Here is a 23,500-nt window from a genome sequence, read left to right on the forward strand (position 1 = left end):
TACTTACCAGTACTTCAGTCTCAGTTTATGTACTATGTATAATCCTTACTGATTCAATGATAATGACATAAAGGTCAGAAACCTGCAAACCACTATTCAAAAATGTAGCTACCAGAGTATCATCAGCAAATTCAAAAAAAAAAACACATTATGAATTACATATTAACACTTTGTCCTCAATTTCTCCCTTCATTTAGCCAATTAAAAACTTTATGGCAAAAAAAGCTTATTTACCTTCCAAAAACATATAACACCTCACTAAGTGATTTTTCTCCTCTACATTCTAAAAATTTAGATAAAAGTTGCCTCAATGTAACTTGGCTTAACCTGCTAAATAATTCTCATGTAATAAGTCATCTGCAATTATAAAATCAGTAAAGTTCATTTAGCATTACATATCCAGTTTGTATATATCATATAGTATTAAACACAATAAAAACACACTGGTGCAAAATTTTTTTTCTTACATACCCATCTTTACCTTCTGAGAAAGTAAAAAAAAAAAAAAAAGGACACACAAATTCTTTATAGTGATTTGCTTTTCTTTAACAACTGTTACATTTTCAAAATTGCCTAAAACTCCCTTTAAAGACCTTGCTATAGTTCTTAATCTCACCCTCTTCTTCTTTAGTTTCTTTATTGCTGGTTGGAAAGCAAACTGATACACAAGCATGCAAAATATTTCGATTTCCATCACATCTGTGGCTGATGAATGTCTGCAGCATCTGTAGATTCTGCTCTAAAACAACCGCTTGCTCAAGATTCATTAGATATTGTCGACAGGCCTCATAGTCACAGCGCAGAATGTGTTGCATTAAGGTTTGTTTCTGTGCTCAGACAAATTAGGGGAAAAAAACCTCAATGAATTTGAGTAGCACATTACATATATTAAAAATTTCTCATGGCCAACACAATAATATATAATCAGATTTGCAAATCAGTAGAGACAATTTCAGGTGGCCTACCAAAAGAAACAGAACTTAAGGGTACACTTTAAGCAGAACATACAATCGACAGGAATAGAGAAGGGAGGGTAAACTTTCTGTTAAGGACAAGTAAATATTTTTAGCTTTCTCAACTAACTCAGCTCTGCAACTGAAACAGGAAAGCAGCCACATACAATGCATAAATGAATAGGAGTGGCTGGATTCGGCCTTTGGGCCATAGTCTGCCAATCCTTGGTTTTTACTTCATGTTATCTATCTAATTAGAACCCTTTTAATAATGATAGCCAATTAAGCAAAGGATATAAATTTTATTCCAGGCTTACTCCCACCTTCTTAGGCTTTTGTGTGTGTGTGAGACAGTGTCTCACTCTGTCTTCCAGGCTGTAGTGCGGTGATGTGAACACAGCTCACTATGGCATCAACCTCCTGGGCTCAAGTAATCCTCCCGCCTCAGCCTCCCATGTAGCTAGCATGCACCACCACAGCAGGCTGATTTTTTGTAGAGGCAGTCTTGCCATGTTGCCCAGGCTGGTCTCAAACTCCTGGGCTCAAGTGATGCCCCCACCTCAGCCTCCCAAAGTGCTGGGCATGAGCAACCCACACCCAGCCCTCTTATGCTATTAAAGGTTATATGAAAACCGATACCTTCAATTCTGCAGGGATCATGACAGGTGTAATTTAATTAACAAAGACACAGTGGTACTGATAAGTATTTATAGAACATATCATTAGCTTTCTGACAAATAGCATGAATATACCAAGAAGTTCATTCTTTCACATTGGAAAACTGTAGTTGTGGAATATTTAATGAATCGAATATAAAGCTTTAGTTTTATAAAACAAAGTTGTTCATTTTAACTATAACTAGAAAAAAGCAGGTGGGAAAAGAGCATGTGGGAGTATAAAGGAAAAAAAAAAACTGCATTTGAACAACTTGCCACCTTCTGGAAAACTGTCAAAATAAGCTCTCCCCTATCCCCAACTTGAGAGCGGGTGGAGAACAGATGTCCACACAAGAAAACACACCTAAACAACTATTTTCACTATCCACTACACGTGAGACAGGCCACTTTGATTGTGGAACTAACTATGGCTCTGAAGTCACCTCATCAACAGCAAGCTCCAGTTCATGAGGAGCTTAATACTAAACTTTCCAAAACATAGGGAAATTTATACAAAATATGTGTTGAGAGAAAATGTCAAAGTCTCCCTGAAGAACAAAGAACAGAGTACTTTCAAAGGGCAACTAAAATCAAGATATTCTGTTGTACGGTGCTGTCATATACACTGGTTTCAAGTAACAGCAAATTATTTAGTTAGAAGCAGCTACTACTCTACAGGAAACTCTTATCTCCAACCTGCCAGACTATAGTAGATGGGCTCTCACACTGAGAGTATCAATACTACTTAGTTGTGTTACAAGCAGAAAAGTTTACTCTGCATCATTGTATGTTACATCTGTCAGTTATTCTTATAGCAAAAGGCAGAGTGAGTTCAATAAAAAATTTCTTGTGGGTCTACTGTGTGGTAGGCCCTAGTCACTGAGGTAGGTATAAAGACTAATCATGACACACTTCATCCCTACCTGCGGGATGATGACTCTACCTGTCAGATCCTGACAAAGTGAAGAGGTCACAGAATCAAATGCCTACACTTGAAGTAATATAAATGAATGAAGGAGGCTGTGTGTAAAAGAGATAACAGAAGCTGTATACTAAATGGCATCACTAGCACTTGGAGCAACAAACTCTAAGTAGTGAGAACTGCAATGAATTGTAAAGACCAGTCTAATGTTTTTGGGATGTAGATTACGAGGCCCAATTTCACCAGATCTTCTAAAATTAAAATCTGGATTTTAAATGTAAATCCTGTGATTTTTCAATATTGGTAACCCATCAAGAATTCTAAAATGATATGAAGGCTATTTCTAGACATCAAGTTCAGACCACAGCTACCTCTGTATCATCACCTCCTTTAGTTTGAAACCACTAGTGCAGTAGGTTACAAGCAAAGCTAAGCTAAGAATGAGTCTGGGTGTCTAAATAAAAGCTTACAGATAGTGCTCATAAGCACCTGGATTCAGTCTATTTTAGATGCAGTTCTAAAAAGTACTTCTCACCTCCAATCTAATGGAGGGTGAATATGCTCCCATATTAAACTCCATTTCCATCCTTTATAGAAAAACTGCTCAAAAAAGTTGCTGATATTTATCTTCAGTTCCTCACCTCTCATTTTCTCCTAAGTTCACTCTAATGCTTTCATCCCCACTATCAATAATGACCTAGATGGAGCTAAATCCAACAGTCAATATTCAGTATTCACTTCACTGACCTACCACATCACTTGACACAGTTGGTCCCAACATCCTGCTTGACATGTGCTCTTCATTTGACTTCCAGGACACAACTCATTCTAGCTTTCCTCCAACCCTGTGGATGTTCCTTCTCGATCTCTTATGCTCGTTCCTCTTTATCACCCTAACATTTAAATGTTGAGACTATTCTCAGGACTTAGTCCTTGGACCTTTTCTCCTCACCACCTCCATGATCTTGTTCAATATAATTCCTCTAAATAAACAACTCCCAAGTAAATTTCTCCAGCTTGAGCCTTTCTCTCTTAGTCAGACTTACACATCTAACTTTCTACTTGCCATCTCCTCTTGGTCCAGGAATCTGTCAGATAATCTTCTAATAGACAACTTAAATTTCACCTGTCTAAAACCAAATTCCTGAACCTTCACCTTCACTTCTTCTATCAGAAGAGACATCTATTAAAATGTCTTCACATTCACTTCCTCTATCAGAAGAGACATCTTAAACTTCACGTCTAAAACCAAACCCTTGAATCTTCTTCACTTCTATAGTCTTCAACTCGGTAAATGACAACTTCATTCTTCCAAAACCATTAACCCTCTTGCTTCGTCTATTTGATACCCTACATTTAGCCATTAGCAAATCTATTAGTTCTACCTTAAAAAGATACCTAGTACAGTCATGTGCTGCATAAAAACATTACGGTCAATGATGGACCACATATATGACTGTGGTACTATAAGATTATAATGGAGCTGAAAAGTTCCTATTGCCTAGTGACATCGTAGCTGTTGTTAAATCATACTGTTTGTGGCAGTGCTGGCATAAACAAACCTACTGTACTGCCAATCATATAGAAGTACAGTACATACAATTTATGTACAGTATAATATTCGATAATGATAAAACTAGGTCACTGATTTCTAAAGTATTTACTATACTTTCTTTGGTTACTTTAGAATGTACTTCTTCTATCTATTTTTTTTAAAGTTAACTAAAACAGCCTAAGGCAGGTCCTTCAGGAGGTATTACAGAAGAAGGCATTGTAAATTGCACATTTTTTAAAAAGGCAGTAAAAAATTTTAAATATAGAAAAAGTGCTTAATACCTGGGTGATGAAACAATCTGTACAAAAAACCCTGTACATGAGTTTACCCTGCAGTAAAATCTCACATGTACTCCCAAGCCTAAAAGTTTTTTTTTTAAAAAAAAAAAAAAGAAAGAAAGAAAGAAATGAAAACTCTGCCCCTCCCCCCCAAAAAACCCTTAAGGATATAGGAAAGAAAGTTATTTTTTAGATAGCTACACAATGTGTGTGTGTGTGTGTGTGTGTGTGTGTGTGTAAGACAGAGTCTCACTCTGTCGCCCAGGCTGGAGTGCAGTGGCATGATCTCAGCTCACTGCAACCTCCACCTTCACCTACTAGGTTCAAGCGATTCTCGTGCCTGAGCCTCTTAAGTAGCTGGGATTACAGGCACAACCACACCCGGTTAATTTTTGTATTTTTTGTAGAGACAGGGTTTCGCTATGTTGCCCAGGCTGGCCTCAAACTCCTGGCCTCAAGGGATCCATCCACTTTGGCCTCCCAAAATGCTGGGATTACAGGTACAATCCACCATGCCCGACTGTGTACAATGTGTTTTAAGCATATTATTATTACAAACAAATCAAAAGGTTAAAAAAAATTTAGTGTAGCCTAAGTGTACAGTGTTTATAAAGTCTACAGCAGTGTACAGTAATAACATAAGCCCTCACATTCACCTACCACTCACTCACTGACTTACCCAGAGCAACTTTCAATCTTCTAAGCTTCATTTGTGCTAAATGCCCTATCAGGTGCACCTTTTTTTTATCCTTTAGACCGTATTTTTACTGTGCCTTTCCTATGTTTATGTAAACAACTACTTATCACTGTGTTACAAATGCCTACGGTATCCAGTACAGAAATACACTATATAGGTTTATACCCTAGGAGCAATAGGCTATACCATCTAGGTTCATGTAAGTGCACTATGTGATGTTTGTACAACAATGAAATCACCTAACAATGTATTTCTCAGAATGTATCCCTGTCATTAAGCAACACATGACTACGTAACTAGAATCTAGTCACATTTCACTCCTAACTCCACCCCCTGGGTAAGTCACTATCATCTCCCACCTGGATTATTATTATATCCTCCTAACTGGCACTCCTATTTACTCACTTTCACCCTAGTACTCTCAGCACGTCATAAGGAATCCTTTTAAAATGTTCACTGATATCAGGTCAATCTCGGCTGAAATTGCTCCAATAGCTTCTAATGCACTGTCTCCACATCTAACAAATACTCTATCACAACAAACCACAACATGTTTAAAACTAAATTCATCCTTTTCCCTTATCCCATTTGTTCCCCCTCCTATATTTCTTCTCTACCATCAACCATGCCCAAATCAGAAGCTTTATTAATTCTTTCATTCACTGCTAAAATCCAGTTACCAAGCTTTACAGGTTCTAGTTTCTTAAGATCTCTTAAATCCATCCCCTCCTTCCTCATTTCCAAAAGTTGACATTTACTTTGTTTCTAACCTGGATTATTGCCTGACTTTTTCCCTTTTTTTAAAATGTTTTTTGTTTGTTTGTTTGTTTGTTTTGAGACGGAGTCACGCTCTGTTGCCCGGGCTGGAGTTCAGTGGCGCGATCTCGGCTCACTGCAACCTCCGCCTCCGGGGTTCAAGTGATTCTTGTGCCTCAGCCTCCTGAGTAGCTGGGATTACAGGCGTGCGCCACCATGCCGGGCTAATTTTTGTATTTTCAGTAGAGATAGGGTTTCACCATGTTGGCCAGGCTGGCTTCAAACTCCTGACTTCAAGTGATCCACCCCACACTCTGCCTCCCAAAGTACCGGGATTACAAGCGTGAGCCACCACGCCCAGCCTACATTAACCTTTTTATCTGATCTCTAAACTTCTGATATCTATCAGCTGCTCTCTAAACACCCACCAGCCACTGCTGATCTTTTTTAAAAAATCAAAAGCACGTCATTCACTGGCTTATAATCCTCCTCCTCCTCCTCGCTTTCAGGCTGAAGTTTAGGTAGCGTTAGGTGAACACACAAACACCCTAGTGCCCCTCTCCAGCCTTTTCAGTTGCTACTCACTGACCCACAGGATCCCTACCAGAATTCTGGTCATATCAAAAAAAAGTACTTTCTCCCAACTTATTAATAAGATTCACAAAGGTTGCTCTTGGTGCCTGGGATAATACCTCCCAACTCCATCCCTGTGTCTAAGGGGCCTATCTGATCTGTCCGGGTATCGCTTCTTAAAGAAGTCTTTGGTACAGTCACAGTATGATTTATATCTCTCCCCTTTGTGCTCCTACAACATTATGCATGCCTTGCTCAAACACTTAAATTACACGATAATCACTGATGTACTTGTCTATGTAGTTTTAATAGACCATTAGCTCTTTTAGGGAAGAAAGGGGCAATGAATGATCTATTTAAGATTGTTGCAAGATCTATTCAAGACTATTTAGTGGTGTTTTGTGAATTAAAATGCCCAGTAGTTTCAATACTCAAATTACCTCTACAGCCATGATGATAACAGCAGCTTTCTTTTTGATTGTTGAATTGGCAGGAAGATTTATTAAAGAATGCACACCCATTCCAAGACTACTAATAGGTGGAAGATCCAGCCAATCGGGATCCCTTATTCCTCCCATGCAATCTTTGGCCATTGGGTAGATGGTACCATTTCCATCTCGAAGAATAATGGGAGATTCCTATAATAATGGGAAAATGGTAAAGTTTGACTCCTAATCAAAAAATGTATCTGATTTTTACAGGCATATTTATTTCCAAATTAGATTTTAGTAATAGTAATAAGAAACCTAGTATTCAAATGTGCTAAATATTCTAGGTTTTTGAATAATTGATAAGCTAACCAGAGCCAGACCCCCTAACCTCACAAAAATGCCATTGTTGTCCTATCACTTTTCAAAAGCAAAAATGAGCCTCTACCTGTCCAGCAGTGAAAATGGCTACATTCCTCTCATTCTGACCAAGGAAAGCAATGCTGCTTGTAGGAAAATTATTTTCCTGTTCTGCTTTTCCTGTAGCAAGATCAAAGATACAGTATCGTACCCAATTTCCAGTCTTCAGAACAGCATGAACACCTTCAGAAGCACATAAATGAGAAGAAAAATTGTTATACATCTTATCTCTAATAAACATCTACAATATTTTAACTTCTCTGGCCACACTTGTAAGTCAATTCAAACAGATACATGCCATTCCATAATGTTACAGATAGGGAACAAAAAAATGCCAATGCCCTGAATTATTTTATCATATTCCCATTTCCTGAACAAGTATTAATGGAATATAGGATATGCCAGCTGAAGAAGTTTCAAAATTTACCTTTGGAATCTACATTCACTGCTAATATTTCTGTTTTTTCAGGTATACAAAGCTTTTTAGGAGTCCTTTGGAAACAGTCGGGAACCTTCGGTGTTCCACCAGTTTTGACAACCTGCATGACACAAAAGGAATTTTGCTTTCAAACTCCATAATAAACTCACGGAGTCAGTTCCAATATTCACTTGCTGAATAACTTCTTTACACTTACCTGCAATTCATCAATTCTAAGTAACCTACAATCCTGCAGGAGAGAAGAAGGGTCAGCATCTGGACCAGAGCTGTTCTGACAGTTAGTATTACTGGAGGTTCCTGGAAATTTTACAGCAACATAGGCACCATCTACTTTTAGCACCTGGAAGTATAGGCAAATTCAATGAACATTAGCAATAGCTTATATAAAATCAACATACAAATTCTATTCACTGAACTAATTTAATGTTAAAGGAATCCAATTCTTTGTATGTTTCTTCAATGATCACCAAGTTATAAAATCAACCCAGACAGACTCTGAGCTTTGCTACTGACATCTATATTCAAGGCTCATTTGCTAGAGAAAACTGACCCACACAGCCAGTGATTACAGTCAGTGAATGTTTTCAGTAATCAACTGAAAAACTTAAGTATATAGCCCGTGAAATCCTCCCATCTCCTAATTAAATTAAAGCAGCCTTCGGTCTGACAGAACTTTCTTGAAAATGGCAACGTTCTATATTGGCGGTGTCCAATACGGCAGCCATTAGCCATAAGTGGCTACTGAGCACTTGAAATGAAGCTAATGTGACGAAGGTGCTGACTTTTTTAAGTTATTTGATTTTAACAAATTTAAACAGCCACATATACAGCTAGTGGCTACAATACACTCAACACAGGGATAGGGTCAGCAATGCACAGAAAGACAAGCACAGAATTTGAAACCAGGACAAATTTGGGTCCCACTTCTGCTACTTGATGCTTTTTATTTTAAGCCCGTATCTAATTCTCAGAAGAAAACACCTACCCATGAACTACAGGTCTATTTTGAGAATCAAATGAAACGGTATATGAGAAAGACCTTTGTAAGCTGCAGAAACTGGTATATCTGCTCTTTCCTTTAAGTATAAATGAAAGACTATCACGTTTCAGAAACTACTGAGTAATCATGAAAACCTTTACTTTACAGACATTCTACAACTGCAAGTGCATTTTAAATATGTGTCAGTAGAAGAGTGAAATTAATGGCACTCAAATTGATGGTTTCTTAGAAGGCAAAACAGAAGAGAGGAGAAAAAGTGGAAGGTGACTTGTAATAAGGTTTTTCAGTACTCTGGAAGAATTTTAAATGTCATGGAAGATGATCTCAACTAGAACTAAGAGATCCAACAAATGGGCTGTACCAAAAAGTAACGTATCTCTATGCAACTTTTCTACAAAACTAAAACTATTCCCAAATAATAGTTTTTTTAAAAAGCAACATATCATCACAAATGCTCAAAGAGAGGCATAATCTCTTCATCTGTCAGCGACTGAGAAGACAGATCTGCATCAGATGCAGGGGTGCAACTAAAGATACCACTGAAGATGATAAATAAAACAGCCCTGAAGAAAGGACTCAGATATCAACCACAAATCCCTGGATAACCAATATCATTATAATTCTGTTAGTAATTAAGTTTTAGATATCTTGAACAAACCTTGCCAACAGGAACATTCTTGACATCTTCCACAAAAACCACTTCCCGAAGAGACCACTGCTCTTCATTCACCTTTTCCTCTTCTTTTGGTGCAGGGGTTGACCGTCGTCGTTCTTAGACAACAACAAAATGGTAAGTACCAAAAAGAAAATGTAAAAGAGACTTTATAGATTTCATCTAAATTTATAAGAAAGACTATCTTTAAAGGGATACATAAGTGAAGTTTCTCAACAATTTCCTAAGCTACTGCTTTATGAATTGGAGTTTTCTGATCAATCTGTACTTCAAATAAATTCACAGTGAAGAACAACTGTAACCATTAATGTTTAATTGTATTAACACCAGTATAAACAAGTACAAAGAAATAGCGTAAAATGTATTTTGTACTCCCAAAATTATAGTATCTAACCAGAGTTTAAAAAGGAAGATCTGCCAGATAGTTTTAAGAAAACTATCACATAACTATTAAAGTCTAACTTTTAATTTCCTAAATTGCAAAGCAATTAACACCATAAAATTTATTTTAAGGAATTTTTGAAAAAATTCTATCCATGGTGTGGCAGTAAGTCTAGGTTTATAAATTTACAAATTTTGAGCAAAAGTTGTGACCAAGACATAATCAATTTACAATAATAAGAGTCTCAACAAAAGTGAGTAGATAGACTAGCTAGTGGCAATTATTTCCTTCTATTACTATCATGAATTTCACATATCTTTTTAAAACTCTAATTCTGAAAAACAACAGAAATAGTCAACACTGTAAATACCATCTTTCTATTCAAAGAAGGTTATGCAAAAAAAAAAAACCAAAGTAATAGAGATACAAATTATATAAAAAGATGTAAAAAATGATATGAGTTGCCTTAAATCAGAAACAAACTAAACACAGCTGTCTGCATGAGACCTATTTTCACAAATGCATACAACAAATAAAACTTACTGTATGGCATTGATGCACTGCTGGCAATTGAGGATGCATCACTACACGTGGATGCTGGAGATGGTGGAGGACCCATTTCTGTTTTCACTGGCTCCTGCTTACTTTCAGGCCTGAGATAAGAAATAAGATTCTCCTTATAATTAGATAAATGAAATAATGGAAACTAGTATTTTTTAAAGACAAGTATTTTCTTATAAAAGAATGAATATTAAAAACATTTTTATTAAACTATGTATTTATATTAATTTTTTCATTGTATATTTTTAAGACTCAAGAATAAAAGGTACACAATGCATGCTTTCAAATAGTGGTTTAATATGGGAAGGAAAAATATAAAAGCTATCAACAACTTGAGACAATGATTCAGATAAGCTTTATCTAGAAATAACGAAATTTACACTTAATTTATCAACACAGCTTTGTCAAAGCCTCTTGAGCAAACAAGTTTCACACTGCAACACTGCTAAGATTTGGATATGGCAATTTAACTGAAAAAAAAAAAGGGTAAAGGCAAGTAAGTAAAAAGCCCATTAGACCATTAATTTCATAGAGTTCCAAGAAGAAACTCTACTCACAATGGTTTATAAAAATTTATTCTTAAACCATCTGGTGACAGGATTAAAAAACTAGCCCTCTTTAATGAGTTATTTAATACTCTGTTTAAGAAAATAACTACAGCAACTAAACAGCATTCTACAGATGGTGCAAACATAAATATTTTTATATATTAAAGGGTAGAAATCAGTTTTTAATCAGAAAAGTCACTGATTATTCACAAATTTGTTATTTATATACCTATTATAAACTGGACCATCATCTTAACCCTCGTCTCCTATTACTCTCATCAGAAATTTCACCTGAGTTTAGAAATAATCTAAAAGAAAACTGGTATTATTTTCACCAGGATCTTAACATGAGTGATCTCAATAAGTACACAGCAAATACTCCTGGCTGCTCCACAAATGCTGTGATGGTGGGGGGAAGCCAATACTGATTAATCACTAGCATACCTTTAAAGTGAATGCATTTCAATGACTGGCAAACGAGGGTACTACTGACATGAAAAAGACTATGTTCTTAACATTTAAATTTCACTTAGCTCTTTTGCTAATATTTGAAATGGCTGATTTCAAGGAAGATCTTGAAAAACTTCATCAATTACAGGCTTTAAATTCCATATTCTATTCTAATCTTGTATTTGTACACATCAAAATTATTTCAAATGTTCTTTACAAAGTTCATAAGACAATGAAAATGTTTTATTACTTCTATTTTTAGTACAAAATCCAACGTAATTAGAAAGTCTATAAATCTTTTTTAAAAAACCAAGACAGAGAAAGAACACGAAAACTAAAAGCAAAACCTTAATGAGGTATAAAGTGCAATAGCTTTGGTTTGTTAAAAATTACATTTAACTTAACAGTAATCACTGTTTTCACATTTAACTTTGCACTTTTAACACTGAGGAATTACAGCAGTAAACTTAGTAAATTTATAATCATAACATCTGAGTATAAATGGAAAGCAAACTAAACAATTTTGGAACCTTAAAAATCTGTATGTACAGTAAAATCCCTATCGTTTTTCAATGCCTGAATACATTTAGAAAAAAAGAAAATACATTGATGTGTTAAATGTTCTTTCTAGAATGTGATATTACTACTCTCCCACATATCTATACTGGTCACCTATTTTTATAAGATTAAGAAAAAATGTTATTTAACAATTTTACTAAAGTTTTAAAGTTCATGTACCAAACAACCAAATTACAGTACAAACGATTATTTTTAAAGATGAGTAGATGTTTCTAAAAGCACAGGTGTTAAGATCTCTGTACTACGCTCCAAACAGAAGTCAGCCCCAGAACATGGGGCTATACAAAATTCAGCGGTGTTTCTATTCACAAATCCCTTCAACCCAAAAAACGTTTACCAATTCTTTACAGATATTTCCCTCTTGAGTACATTAATCTGTAAAACCCTTTCAATAATCAAGATGTAGGGCAGGAAGTTAGGTAGAAATTTAAGATGATTAAACAAGGAGAGAGAATGTCGGCTTAATAGCAAGGCTTAAACATATTATTACTGCCACAAAACACCTGCAAAGGATACAATCTAATAACAAAACGAGGGCATCAAAAGAGAACACTACACTGTCATCTGGCCATCAAAATCAACTGTTAATATATAAATATGAGGGGGGAGGAGCCAAGATGGCCAAATAGGAACAGCTCCAGTCTACAGCTCCCAGCGTCAGCTACTCAGAAGACAGGTGATTTCTGCATTTCCATTTGAGGTACCGGGTTCATCTCACTAGGGAGTGCCAGACAGTAGGCGCAGGACAGTGGGTGCAACGCACCGTGCACCAGCCGAAGCAGGGCGAGGCATTGCCTCACTTGGGAAGCGCAAGGGGTCAGGTCAGGGAGTTAGTTCCCTTTCCTGGTCAAGGAAAGGGGTGACAGACAGCACCTGGAAAATCGGGCCACTCCCACCTGAATACTGCGCTTTTCTGACGGGCTTAGGAAATGGCACACCAGGAGATTATATCCCTCACCTGGCTCAGAGGGTCCTACGCTCAGAGTCTCGCTGATTGCTAGCACAGCACTCTGAGATCAAACCGCAAGGCGGCAGCCAGGCTGGGGGAGGGGCGCCCACCATTGCCCAGGCTTGCTTAGGTAAACAAAGCAGCCAGGAAGCTTGAACTGGGTGGAGCCCACCACAGCTCAAGGAGGCCAGCCTGCCTCTGTAGGCTCCACCTCTGGGGGCAGGGCACAGACAAACAAAAAGACAGCAGTAACCTCTGCAGACTTAAATGTCCCTGTCTGACAGCTTTGAAGAGAGCAGTAGTTCTCCCAGCGTGCAGCTGGAGATCTGAGAACGGGCAGACTGCCTCCTCAAGTGGGTCCTGACCCCTGACCCCCAAGCAGCCTAACTGGGAGGCACCCCCCAGTAGGGGCAGACTGACACCTCACACGGCCGGGTACTCCTCTGAGACAAAACTTCCAGAGGAACGATCAGACAGCAGCATTCGCGGTTCACGAAAATCTGCTATTCTGCAGCCAGCACTGCTGGTACCCAGGCAAACAGGGTCTGGAGTGGACCTCTAGCAAACTCCAACAGACCTGCAGCTGAGGGTCCTGTCTGTTAGAAGGAAAACTAACAAACAGAAAGGACATCCACACCAAAAACCCATCTGTACATCACCATCATCAAAGACCAAAAGTAGATAAAACCACAAAGATGGGGAAAAACAGAGCAGAAAAACTGGAAACTCTAAAAAGCAGAGCGCCTCTCCTCCTCCAAAGGAACGCAGTTCCTCACCAGCAACGGAACAAAGCTGGATGGAGAATGACTTTGACGAGTTGAGAGAAGAAGGCTTCAGACAATCAAACTACTCCGAGCTACAGGAGGAAATTCAAACCAAAGGCAAAGAAGTTGAAAACTTTGAAAAAAATTTAGACGAATGTATAACTAGAATAACCAATACAGAGAAGTGCTTAAAGGAGCTGATGGAGCTGAAAGCCAAGGCTCGAGAACTACGTGAAGAATGCAGAAGCCTCAGGAGCCGATGCGATCAACTGGAATAAAGGGTATCAGTGATGGAAGATGAAATGAATGAAATGAAGCGAGAAGAGAAGTTTAGAGAAAAAAGAATAAAAAGAAACGAACAAAGCCTCCAAGAAATATGGGACTATGTGAAAAGACCAAATCTACGTCTGATTGGTGTACCTGAAAGTGATGGGGAGAATGGAACCAAGTTGGAAAACACTCTTCAGGATAATATCCAGGAGAACTTCCCCAGTCTAGCAAGGCAGGCCAACGTTCAGATTCAGGAAATACAGAGAACGCCACAAAGATACTCCTCGAGAAGAGCAACTCCAAGACACATAATTGTCAAATTCACCAAAGTTGAAATGAAGGAAAAAATGTTAAGGGCAGCCAGAGAGAAAGGTCAGGTTACCCACAAAGGGAAGCCCATCAGACTAACAGCTGATCTCTCGGCAGAAACTCTACAAGCCAGAAGACAGTGGGGGCCAATATTCAACATTCTTAAAGAAAAGAACTGTCAACTCAGAATTTCATATCCAGCCAAACTAAGCTTCATAAGTGAAGGAGAAATAAAATACTTTACAGACAAGCAAATGCTGAGAGATTTTGTCACCACCAGGCCTGACCTAAAAGAGCTCCTGAAGGAAGCACTAAACATGGAAAGGCACAACCGGTACCAGCCGCTGCAAAATCATGCCAAAATGTAAAGACCATCGAGATTAGGAAAAAACTGCATCAACTAACGAGCAAAATAACCAGCTAACATCATGACAGGATCAAATTCACACATAACAATATTAACTTTAAATGTAAATGGACTAAATGCTCCAATTAAAAGACACAGACTGGCAAATTGGATAAACAGTCAAGACCCATCAGTGTGCTGTATTCAGGAAACCCATCTCACATGCAGAGACACACACAGGCTCAAAATAAAAGGATGGAGTAAGATCTACTAAGCAAATGGAAAACAAAAAAAGGCAGGGATTGCAATCCTAGTCTCTGATAAAACAGACTTTAAGCCAACAAAGATCAAAAGAGACAAAGAAGGCCATTACATAATGGTAAAGGGATCAATTCAACAAGAAGAGCTAACTATCCTAAATATATATGCACCCAATACAGGAGCACCCAGATTCATAAAGCAAGTCCTCAGTGACCTACAAAGAGACTTAGCCTCCCACACACAATAATAATGGGAGACTTTAACACTCCACTGTCAACATTAGACAGATCAATGACACAGAAAGTTAACAAGGATACCCAGGAATTAAACTCAGCTCTGCACCAAGTGGACCTAATAGACATCTACAGAACTCTCCACCCCAAATCAACAGAATATACATTTTTTTCAGCACCACACCACACCTATTCCAAAACTGACCACATAGTTGGAAGTAAAGCTCTCCTCAGCAAATGTAAAAGATCAGAAATTATAACAAACTGTCTCTCAGACCACAGTGCAATCAAACTAGAACTCAGGATTAAGAAAATCACTCAAAACTGCTCAACTACATGAAAACTGAACAACCTGCTCCTGAATGACTACTGGGTACATAACGAAATGAAGGCAGAAATAAAGATGTTATTTGAAACCAACGAGAACAAAGACACAACATACCAGAATCTCTGGGACACATTCAAAGCAGTGTGTAGAGGGAAATTTAGAACACTAAATGCCCACAAGAGAAAGCAGGAAAGATCCAAAATTGACACCCTAACATCACAATTAAAAGAACTAGAAAAGCAAGAGCAAACACATTCAAAAGCTAGCAGAAGGCAAGAAATAACTAAAATCAGAGCAGAATTGAAGGAAATAGAGACACAAAAAACCCTTCAAAAAATTAATGAATCCAGGAGCTGGTTTTTTGGAAGGATCAACAAAATTGATAGACCACTAGCAAGACTAATAAAGAAGAAAAGAGAGAAGAATCAAATAGACGCAATAAAAAATGATAAAGGGGATATCACCACTGATCCCACAGAAATACAAACTACCATCAGAGAATACTACAAACACCTCCATGCAAATAATCTAGAAAATCTAGAAGAAATGGATAAATTCCTCGACACATACACTCTCCCAAGACTAAACCAGGAAGAAGTTGAATCTCTGAATAGACCAATAACAGGATCTGAAATTGTGGCAATAATCAATAGCTTACCAACCAAAAAGAGTCCAGGACCAGATGGATTCACAGCCAAATTCTACCAGAGGTACAAGGAGGAACTGGTACCATTCCTTCTGAAACTATTCCAATGAATAGAAAAAGAGGGAATCCTCCCTAACTCATTTTATGAGGCCAGCATCATCCTGATACCAAAGCCGGGCAGAGACACTACCAAAAAACAGAATTTTAGACCAATATCCTTGATGAACATTGATGCAAAAATCCTCAATAAAATACTGGCAAACTGAATCCATCAGCACATCAAAAAGCTTATCCACCATGATCAAGTGGGCTTCATCCCTGGGATGCAAGGCTGGTTCAATATACGCAAATCAAATGTAATCCAGCATATAAACAGAACCAAAGACAAAAACCACATGATTATCTCAATAGATGCAGAAAAGGCCTTTGACAAAATTCAACAACACTTCATGCTAAAAACTCTCAATAAATTAGGTATTGATGGGACGTATCTCAAAATAATAAGAGCTATCTATGACAAACCCACAGCCAATATCATACTGAATGGGCAAAAACTGGAAGCATTCCCTTTGAAAACTGGCACAAGACAGGGATGTCCTCTCTCACCACTCCCATTCAACATAGTGTTGGAAGTTCTGGCCAGGGCAATTAGGCAGGAGAAGTAAATAAAGGGTATTCAATTAGGAAAAGAGGAAGTCAAATTGTCCCTGTTTGCAGATGACATGATTGTATATCTAGAAAACCCCATCATCTCAGCCCAAAATCACCTTAAGCTGATAAGCAACTTCAGCATAGTCTCAGGATACAAAATCAATGTACAAAAATCACAAGCATTCCTATACACCAATAACACACAAACAGAGAGCCAAATCATGAGTGAACTCCCATTCACAATTGCTTCAAAGAGAATAAAATACTTAGGAATCCAACTTACAAGGGACGTGAAGGACCTCTTCAAGGAGAACTACAAACCACTGCTCAAGGAAATAAAAGAGGATACAAACAAATGGAAGAACATTCCATGCTCATGGGTAGGAAGAATCAATATCGTTAAAATGGCCATACTGCCCAAGGTAATTTATAGATTCAATGGTATCCCCATCAAGCTACCAATTACTTTCTTCACAGAATTGGAAAAAACTACTTTAAAGTTCATATGGAACCAAAAAAGAGCCCGCGTCGCCAAGTCAATCCTAAGCCAAAAGAACAAAGCTGGAGGCATCATGCTACCTGACTTCAAACTATACTACAAGGCTACAGTAACCAAAACAGCATGGTACTGGTACCAAAACAGAGATATAGATCAATGGAACAGAACAGAGCCCTCAGAAATAATGCCACATATCTACAACTATCTGATCTTTGACAAACCTGAGAAAAACAAGCAGTGGGGAAAGGATTCCCTATTTAATAAATGGTGCTGGGAAAACTGGCTAGCCATATGTAGAAAGCTGAAAATGGATCCCTTCCTTACACCTTATACAAAAATTAATTCAAGATGGATTAAAGACTTAAACGTTAGACCTAAAACCATAAAAACCCTAGAAGAAAACCTAGGCAATACCATTCAGGACATAGGCATGGGCAAGGACTTCATGTCTAAAACTCCAAAAGCAATGGCAACAAAAGCCAAAATTGACAAATGGGATCTAATTAAACTAAAGAGCTTCTGCACAGCAAAAGAAACTACCATCGGAGTGAACAGGCAACCTACAAAATGGGAGAAAATTTTTGCAACCTACTCATCTGACAAAGGGCTAATATTCAGAATCTACAATGAACTTAAACAAATTTACAAGAAAAAAACAAACAACCCCATCAAAAAGTGGGCAAAGGATATGAACAGACAATTCTCAAAAGAAGACATTTATGCAGCCAAAAGACACATGAAAAAATGCTCAACATCACTGGCCATCAGAGAAATGCAAATCAAAACCACAATGAGATACCATCTCACACCAGTTAGAACAGCGATCATTAAAAAGTCAGGAAACAACAGGTGCTGGAGAGGATGTGGAGAAATAGGAACACTTTTACACTGTTGCTGGGACTGTAAACTAGTTCAACCATTGTGGAAGTCAGTGTGGCGATTCCTCAGGGATCTAGAACTAGAAATACCATTTGACCCAGCCATCCCATTACTGGGTATATACCCAAAGGACTATAAATCATGCTGCTATAAAGACACATGCACACGTATGTTTACTGCGGCACTATTGACAATAGCAAAGACTTGGAACCAACCCAAATGTCCAACAATGATAGACTGGATTAAGAAAATGTGGCACATATACACCATGGAATCCTATGCAGCCATAAAAAATGATGAGTTCATGTCCTTTGTAGGGACATGGATGAAATTGGAAATCATCATTCTCAGTAAATTATCGCAAGGACAAAAAACCAAACAACGCATATTCTCACTCATAGATGGGAACTGAACAATGAGAACACATGGACACAGGAAGGGGAACATCACACTCTGGGGACTGTTGTGGGGTGGGGGGAGGGGGAGGGATAGCATTAGGAGATATACCTAATGCTAAATGACGAGTTAATGGGTGCAGCACACCAGCATGGCACATGTATACATATGTAACTAACCTGCACATTGTGCACATGTACCCTACAACTTAAAGTATAATAATAATAAATTAATTAATTAATTAATAGATATATATTAGCAAAGTTACAAACAGTAAAATTTAGCACTTCCTTTCAAATTTCCTGGGAACCTTAACAAGACCCTATCATGTTAGGAGTTTACAACTTCACACCTCTAAGTCTTCCTTGATTATTCCCATTCATATGCAGAGCAAACAAGGAACTGGTGTCAAAGCACGATTAGTTAAGCTATAGTACTTACTTAGCTTCAGTAGTTTTGCTAGCTTTTTCCATGTTTTTCAAGCTTTCAGGAGATCTAAGTTGAAATCTACAGCTGTCATTCATATTCCAAACTGACTCCATTAAGACACCAACTTTAGGAATCCCAGCACTAATTGAAAATGCAACTGCTCCAGCATGATAAAGAGGATTATTTCTCAAGCATACCTAGCAAACAAAAGAAAACCACCATCAAGATGACATAACTTTAAAAATATATATAATATTTATTTCAAATGGATGAAATACAATATATGAAAGTACTGGGCTTCCTAGGTTTCCCAGTATAATCTTACCCAATCAATAAGGCTGAAAAAGCACCACCTTAAAGGTCTTCATTAAGAAAATTTGTTTCTAGGCCAGGCGTGGTGGCTCACGCCTGTTATCCCAGCACTTTGGGAGGCCAAGGCAGGTGGATCATGAGTCAGGAGTTCAAGACCAGCCTGGCCAAGATGGTGAAACCTCCGTCTCTATTAAAAATACAAAAATTAGCTGGGCATGGTGGCATGCGCCTGTTATCCCAGCTGCTTGGGAGGCTGAGGCAGAGAATTGCTTAAACCTGGGAGGCGGAGGTTGCAGTGAGCCAAGATCATGCCACTGCACTCCAGCCTGGGCAACAGAGTGAGACTCCATCTCAAAAAAAAGAAAAAGAAAAGAAAATTTGTTTCTAATATTAAGGAAAAGGAATAATTTCAACATGTTTGCTAAAAATTTAGCATTAACTTTAAATTTTCATGCAGCAAATATCCCATCCATTCTGCTACAAACAAACAAACAAACAAACAAACAAAAAACAGAGCAGAAACAGCAGAGAAGAAACTAAAAGGCATTATAATTTAAAAAGTAAAATGTGAAAAAAAAAATTACACTTCTTGTCTGTTTCCTACAATCTGAAATAACTTTTTCCCTTAATTCATGATAGGCTCCATAACTTTATAGATGTTTCTTTATCCCAGAAGACTACTGTTTCCTGCTAGCCAGAAGGTTCCATGAATAATTTTTCTTTTAAATTAAAAAAGAATATGTAGACATTAGTGTCTGAAGTTTAACTGGGTTTAGGAGTAAATAACTTACAGAGAAAAAAAAAAAAAAAACTCTGTCAGGGGACTAACCTCAGGTCATGCTCCGAAAACCAATGGCCTTCAAGACAGCACTGTTAAACATACCAACAGTATCTCCATCTTAGATAGGAACATTTTTTCTGGAGATATCTTTTATTTATCCAATATCCCAATCTTACTATGTGGTAGATGACCAGAGGTACACACGAAGATCATGATTTTTTGTGGCTTATAATTAAATGTAAGAAACAAAAGAAGATGGTGGTACATTTGAAAAGTGCAGGAACTGGAAACATTGGCTTAGAGGTACAGTTCTACCAAAGAATAGTTGTGTATCATTAACTATAACTCCGTGGCATAAAATGAATAGTTCTTAAGATGATCTATAAATACAGATGCAGCTGAATAAGTGACCAACAGTTCTTTTCAATGTTAAGACATGAATATTTTACTTGTTCTGCAGCTGTAACTGCCCTCAGCCTCCAGTATTCTACAGGTTTAAAACACAACCTTGGTTATATACCAAGGTATTTTCATATGTTATCTTTCGGCAATTTAGTGTCAAGCTTTTTTATTTAAAGCTTTTCTCCAATATTTTTTCTGTTCTCCCTGTCTACAGTAATGCCATATTACCTGCTGATATGGCAGCTGCTGCAACATCCTGCTAGTACATGAGTGCAATTGAAAAATAATGTCCAGAACATCAGAAATCAGTATTTAAACTAAATAGGCAAAGAAGGGATCCTACAAAGGAGGGAAGGAGGGGCAAAGAGAGGAGCAGGGGGAAAAAGAGAGAGCATACCCTGTCCAAAGAAACTAATATAAATAATGAAGGCCGATCAATAATGTTCAAAATAGTGGGTAAACGCTGAAAGTTTTCTGGTTCGAAGACCAATAGGCAGAAGAACATGAGGAAGACCAAGAAAAAAGGTATCATGAAGAAAAAGAATAGGTACATTTTACTTCCTTGTAATGAAAAAAAAAAAATACCTGCATTTAAAGTGCTAGATGAAGAAATTAACACCACATTCTATAATAAAAAACTACCATTTTGTCTAAGTTTTAAGGATTAAGTTTTTAAACATTCATAACAGCATTTGCTGTAATGAATACAAGCATTAAGTTTTACCCAGAAGATAAACCTCAACCAGAATGTAATAAATTAGAAGTTCTCAGACTCATTTGATCTCAAGACCTTTTTCCTTTTTTCACTATTAACTATTACTGCATATCCCAAAAACCTTATGTTTATATGGGTCATATCTAGTTTTAATAATTAGTAAATTAAAACTGAGTAAATCGAGTGTATTAGTAATTGAAATTGAGAAAGTTTTAAATATTTAATAGTGATAAAACCCCACATTCATATAAACAATTTTTATGGAAAATAGATTTTCAAAAAAATAGTGGCGAGAAAAGTAACATCATTTACATTTTAGCAAATCTCTTAATGTCAGACTTAATAAAAGACAGCTGTATTCTCACGTCTGCTTCTGCATTCAATCTGTTGATACCTTCTTCTGACAAAGCTAATTCAGCTAATAGGAAGCTAATTCAGCCTGACACAAATATGTAATAGAAAAATGAAGGAAATTTTCAGAGTCCCTGAAAGGGTTGAGGAGAAGGCAGGGGTCTCTGGACCACACTTAGAGAACCACTGAGATATTAACAATATCAGCTTCCAGAAAATAGTACCCGTAGAAGCCTAAAACCATCTCAGAGTCAAAAACCAGAAAGTGGTAGAAATGGGGATTTGCCAAAGCCCCCTGCCTCATGCTGACAACATCCTCATAGAGCAGTATCTTTCAAACGGGTTAGTCATATGAATCACCCGGGATGTTTGTTAAACACAACGATGCCTGGCCCTACCACCAAACAAACTTAAACATTTCAGGTAAGGGGTTCCAGACTCTGCATTTTAAAAGTAGCAAGTGATTCTTAAAGCCAGGGAACCTTGCCCCATAGGGAAACCTACTAATACTGAACCACAATCTATACAGTATTACTCTACTGAATGAAGGAAGAATGACGTGACACATACACGTTACTGGAAACCGACTCTTCAAATGATGCTCATCTGTAAAACTGCTTACAAGGGAAGAAAGTGATTCTGAAGAGAAACGAGGTCCCTTAAGACAGGCTAAATCCATCACTTACCTGGGTACCAACAGTGATGTTCGGCATTGAAGAAATACCAGCACTGGATTTAGGCTTTTTATTTTTTGCTCTAGCTTTCTCTAACATTTTCTTCCTTTGACTAAAAGGAACTACACCCCTGAAAACAAAAAACATAAATTGGTCAAATAAGCAGTAAAACAGCCCACTAAATAAATCTGAAATTACACATATTATCAGTTAAGCATTTCTGGCATTTCTCCAGTATTTTCGCCTCAGAAAACTATTAATGTGTACAATTTCATCTTAATTATAATTTGTGCATTAGATTAATAACTGGATCTACTTTTATTAAACCTTTATAATTAAATTTTATGGGAAATTCATCAATTGCTTTTTTTTTTTTTTTTTTTTTGAGACGGGGCCTTTCTCTGCTGCCCAGGCTACAGTGCAGGTGGCTGATCTCAGCTCACTGCACTCTACCTCCTGGACTCAAGAGATCCTCCTGCCTCAGCCTCCCAAGTAGCTGAGACTACAAGGCACCCACCACCACACCCAGTTACTTCTTGTATTTTTTGTAGAGACTAGGTCTCACTGTATTGCCCAGGCTGTTCTCCAACTCCCAGGCTCAAGCAATCCTCTGGCCTTGGCCTCCGAAAGTGCTGGGCCTCCGAAAGCCACTGTGCCTGGGCCTAACAGACATATTTTCTTCCAAATAATTATACTTCATTAGGAAACTCCCCTATATATTGTTTCCAAAATGCAATTTTGCTGTTAACTCCTTAAAACACAACAAAGAAAAAATGTAAGGTCACCTTCTAACAGTAAAGCTATAATTAAATAAGGTAGAGAATATTCATACAATGAAATGAAAAAAATACTCTATAACCTATACTTTCAATTATGTAAAAGCAAAGTACATGTTTATGCAGAGGAAAAAAAGATTTAAAATACCCCAAATGTTAACTGTAGTTATCTCTGGGTTGCAGGATTCTAAATGACTTTTGTTTCTACTTTATACTTTCATAAAACTTATTAATTATATTCACTAAGTATGTATTTTTATAAATTTAACTGTTAAAGTTTTTTAAAATGTTACTTTGTTCCAAAGTGAAATTTCCCTTCCATAAGGCATAATCTTTTAATTGAACTTCTCATGTTGGTATTCCACTACTCAAAGCATCTTTCTATACATACACAAGCATTCACCGATAAATTCCTCCTCCCTATAGACTCACCACCAATATAAACTGTTTTCCAGCTGAGCGCAGGTGTAAAGGGCACAGCAATGTAAAGAAACTATCCGCTCTCCTTGAAGTTCAGAGTAAGTCTGAGCAGTGTGCTCTAATTTAGAAGCCACAGAACTTAAAGTTTCATCCACCCATGTAGCAACCTAAAGAATAAAATATTAGAACTTTAAATAAAATCAAGCCATCTTTTCAAAAGGATTGTGGTAAAAACTAGG

The 23,500-nt window shown here is 37.4% G+C and overlaps 1 protein-coding gene across 7 annotated transcripts in view, besides 2 other annotated features; it reads right to left on the reverse strand.

Annotated features, from left to right (window-relative positions):
- UBR5 (ubiquitin protein ligase E3 component n-recognin 5) overlaps positions 1 to 23,500 on the reverse strand; it is a 160,428-nt gene that overhangs the window by 52,196 nt on the left and 84,732 nt on the right. For all 7 annotated transcript variants that reach the window (NM_001282873.2, NM_015902.6, XM_047421849.1 and 4 more), the window contains 10 exons: positions 23,274 to 23,428; positions 22,078 to 22,195; positions 18,843 to 19,027; positions 10,276 to 10,385; positions 9,336 to 9,448; positions 7,874 to 8,017; positions 7,666 to 7,777; positions 7,267 to 7,421; positions 6,831 to 7,028; positions 617 to 827 (listed from right to left, as the gene is read on the reverse strand). In NM_001282873.2, coding sequence (NP_001269802.1) covers positions 617 to 827; positions 6,831 to 7,028; positions 7,267 to 7,421; positions 7,666 to 7,777; positions 7,874 to 8,017; positions 9,336 to 9,448; positions 10,276 to 10,385; positions 18,843 to 19,027; positions 22,078 to 22,195; positions 23,274 to 23,428 — 1,501 coding nt within the window. The remainder of the gene's footprint in view (positions 1 to 616; positions 828 to 6,830; positions 7,029 to 7,266; positions 7,422 to 7,665; positions 7,778 to 7,873; positions 8,018 to 9,335; positions 9,449 to 10,275; positions 10,386 to 18,842; positions 19,028 to 22,077; positions 22,196 to 23,273; positions 23,429 to 23,500) is intronic.
- Positions 12,674 to 13,174: an enhancer, noted in NCBI's record as "H3K27ac hESC enhancer chr8:103329370-103329870 (GRCh37/hg19 assembly coordinates)". NCBI's record gives its function as "activates a minimal SCP1, AML or CMV promoter by ChIP-STARR-seq in naive H9 embryonic stem cells {active_cell/tissue: H9 hESC(naive)}" and the evidence as "EXISTENCE:reporter gene assay evidence [ECO:0000049][PMID:30033119]".
- Positions 19,174 to 19,921: an enhancer, noted in NCBI's record as "NANOG-H3K4me1 hESC enhancer chr8:103335870-103336617 (GRCh37/hg19 assembly coordinates)". NCBI's record gives its function as "activates a minimal SCP1, AML or CMV promoter by ChIP-STARR-seq in primed H9 embryonic stem cells {active_cell/tissue: H9 hESC(primed)}" and the evidence as "EXISTENCE:reporter gene assay evidence [ECO:0000049][PMID:30033119]".

This window comes from Homo sapiens, chromosome 8 (genome assembly GCF_000001405.40).
Source record: "Homo sapiens chromosome 8, GRCh38.p14 Primary Assembly".
Lineage (NCBI taxonomy): Eukaryota > Metazoa > Chordata > Mammalia > Primates > Hominidae > Homo > Homo sapiens.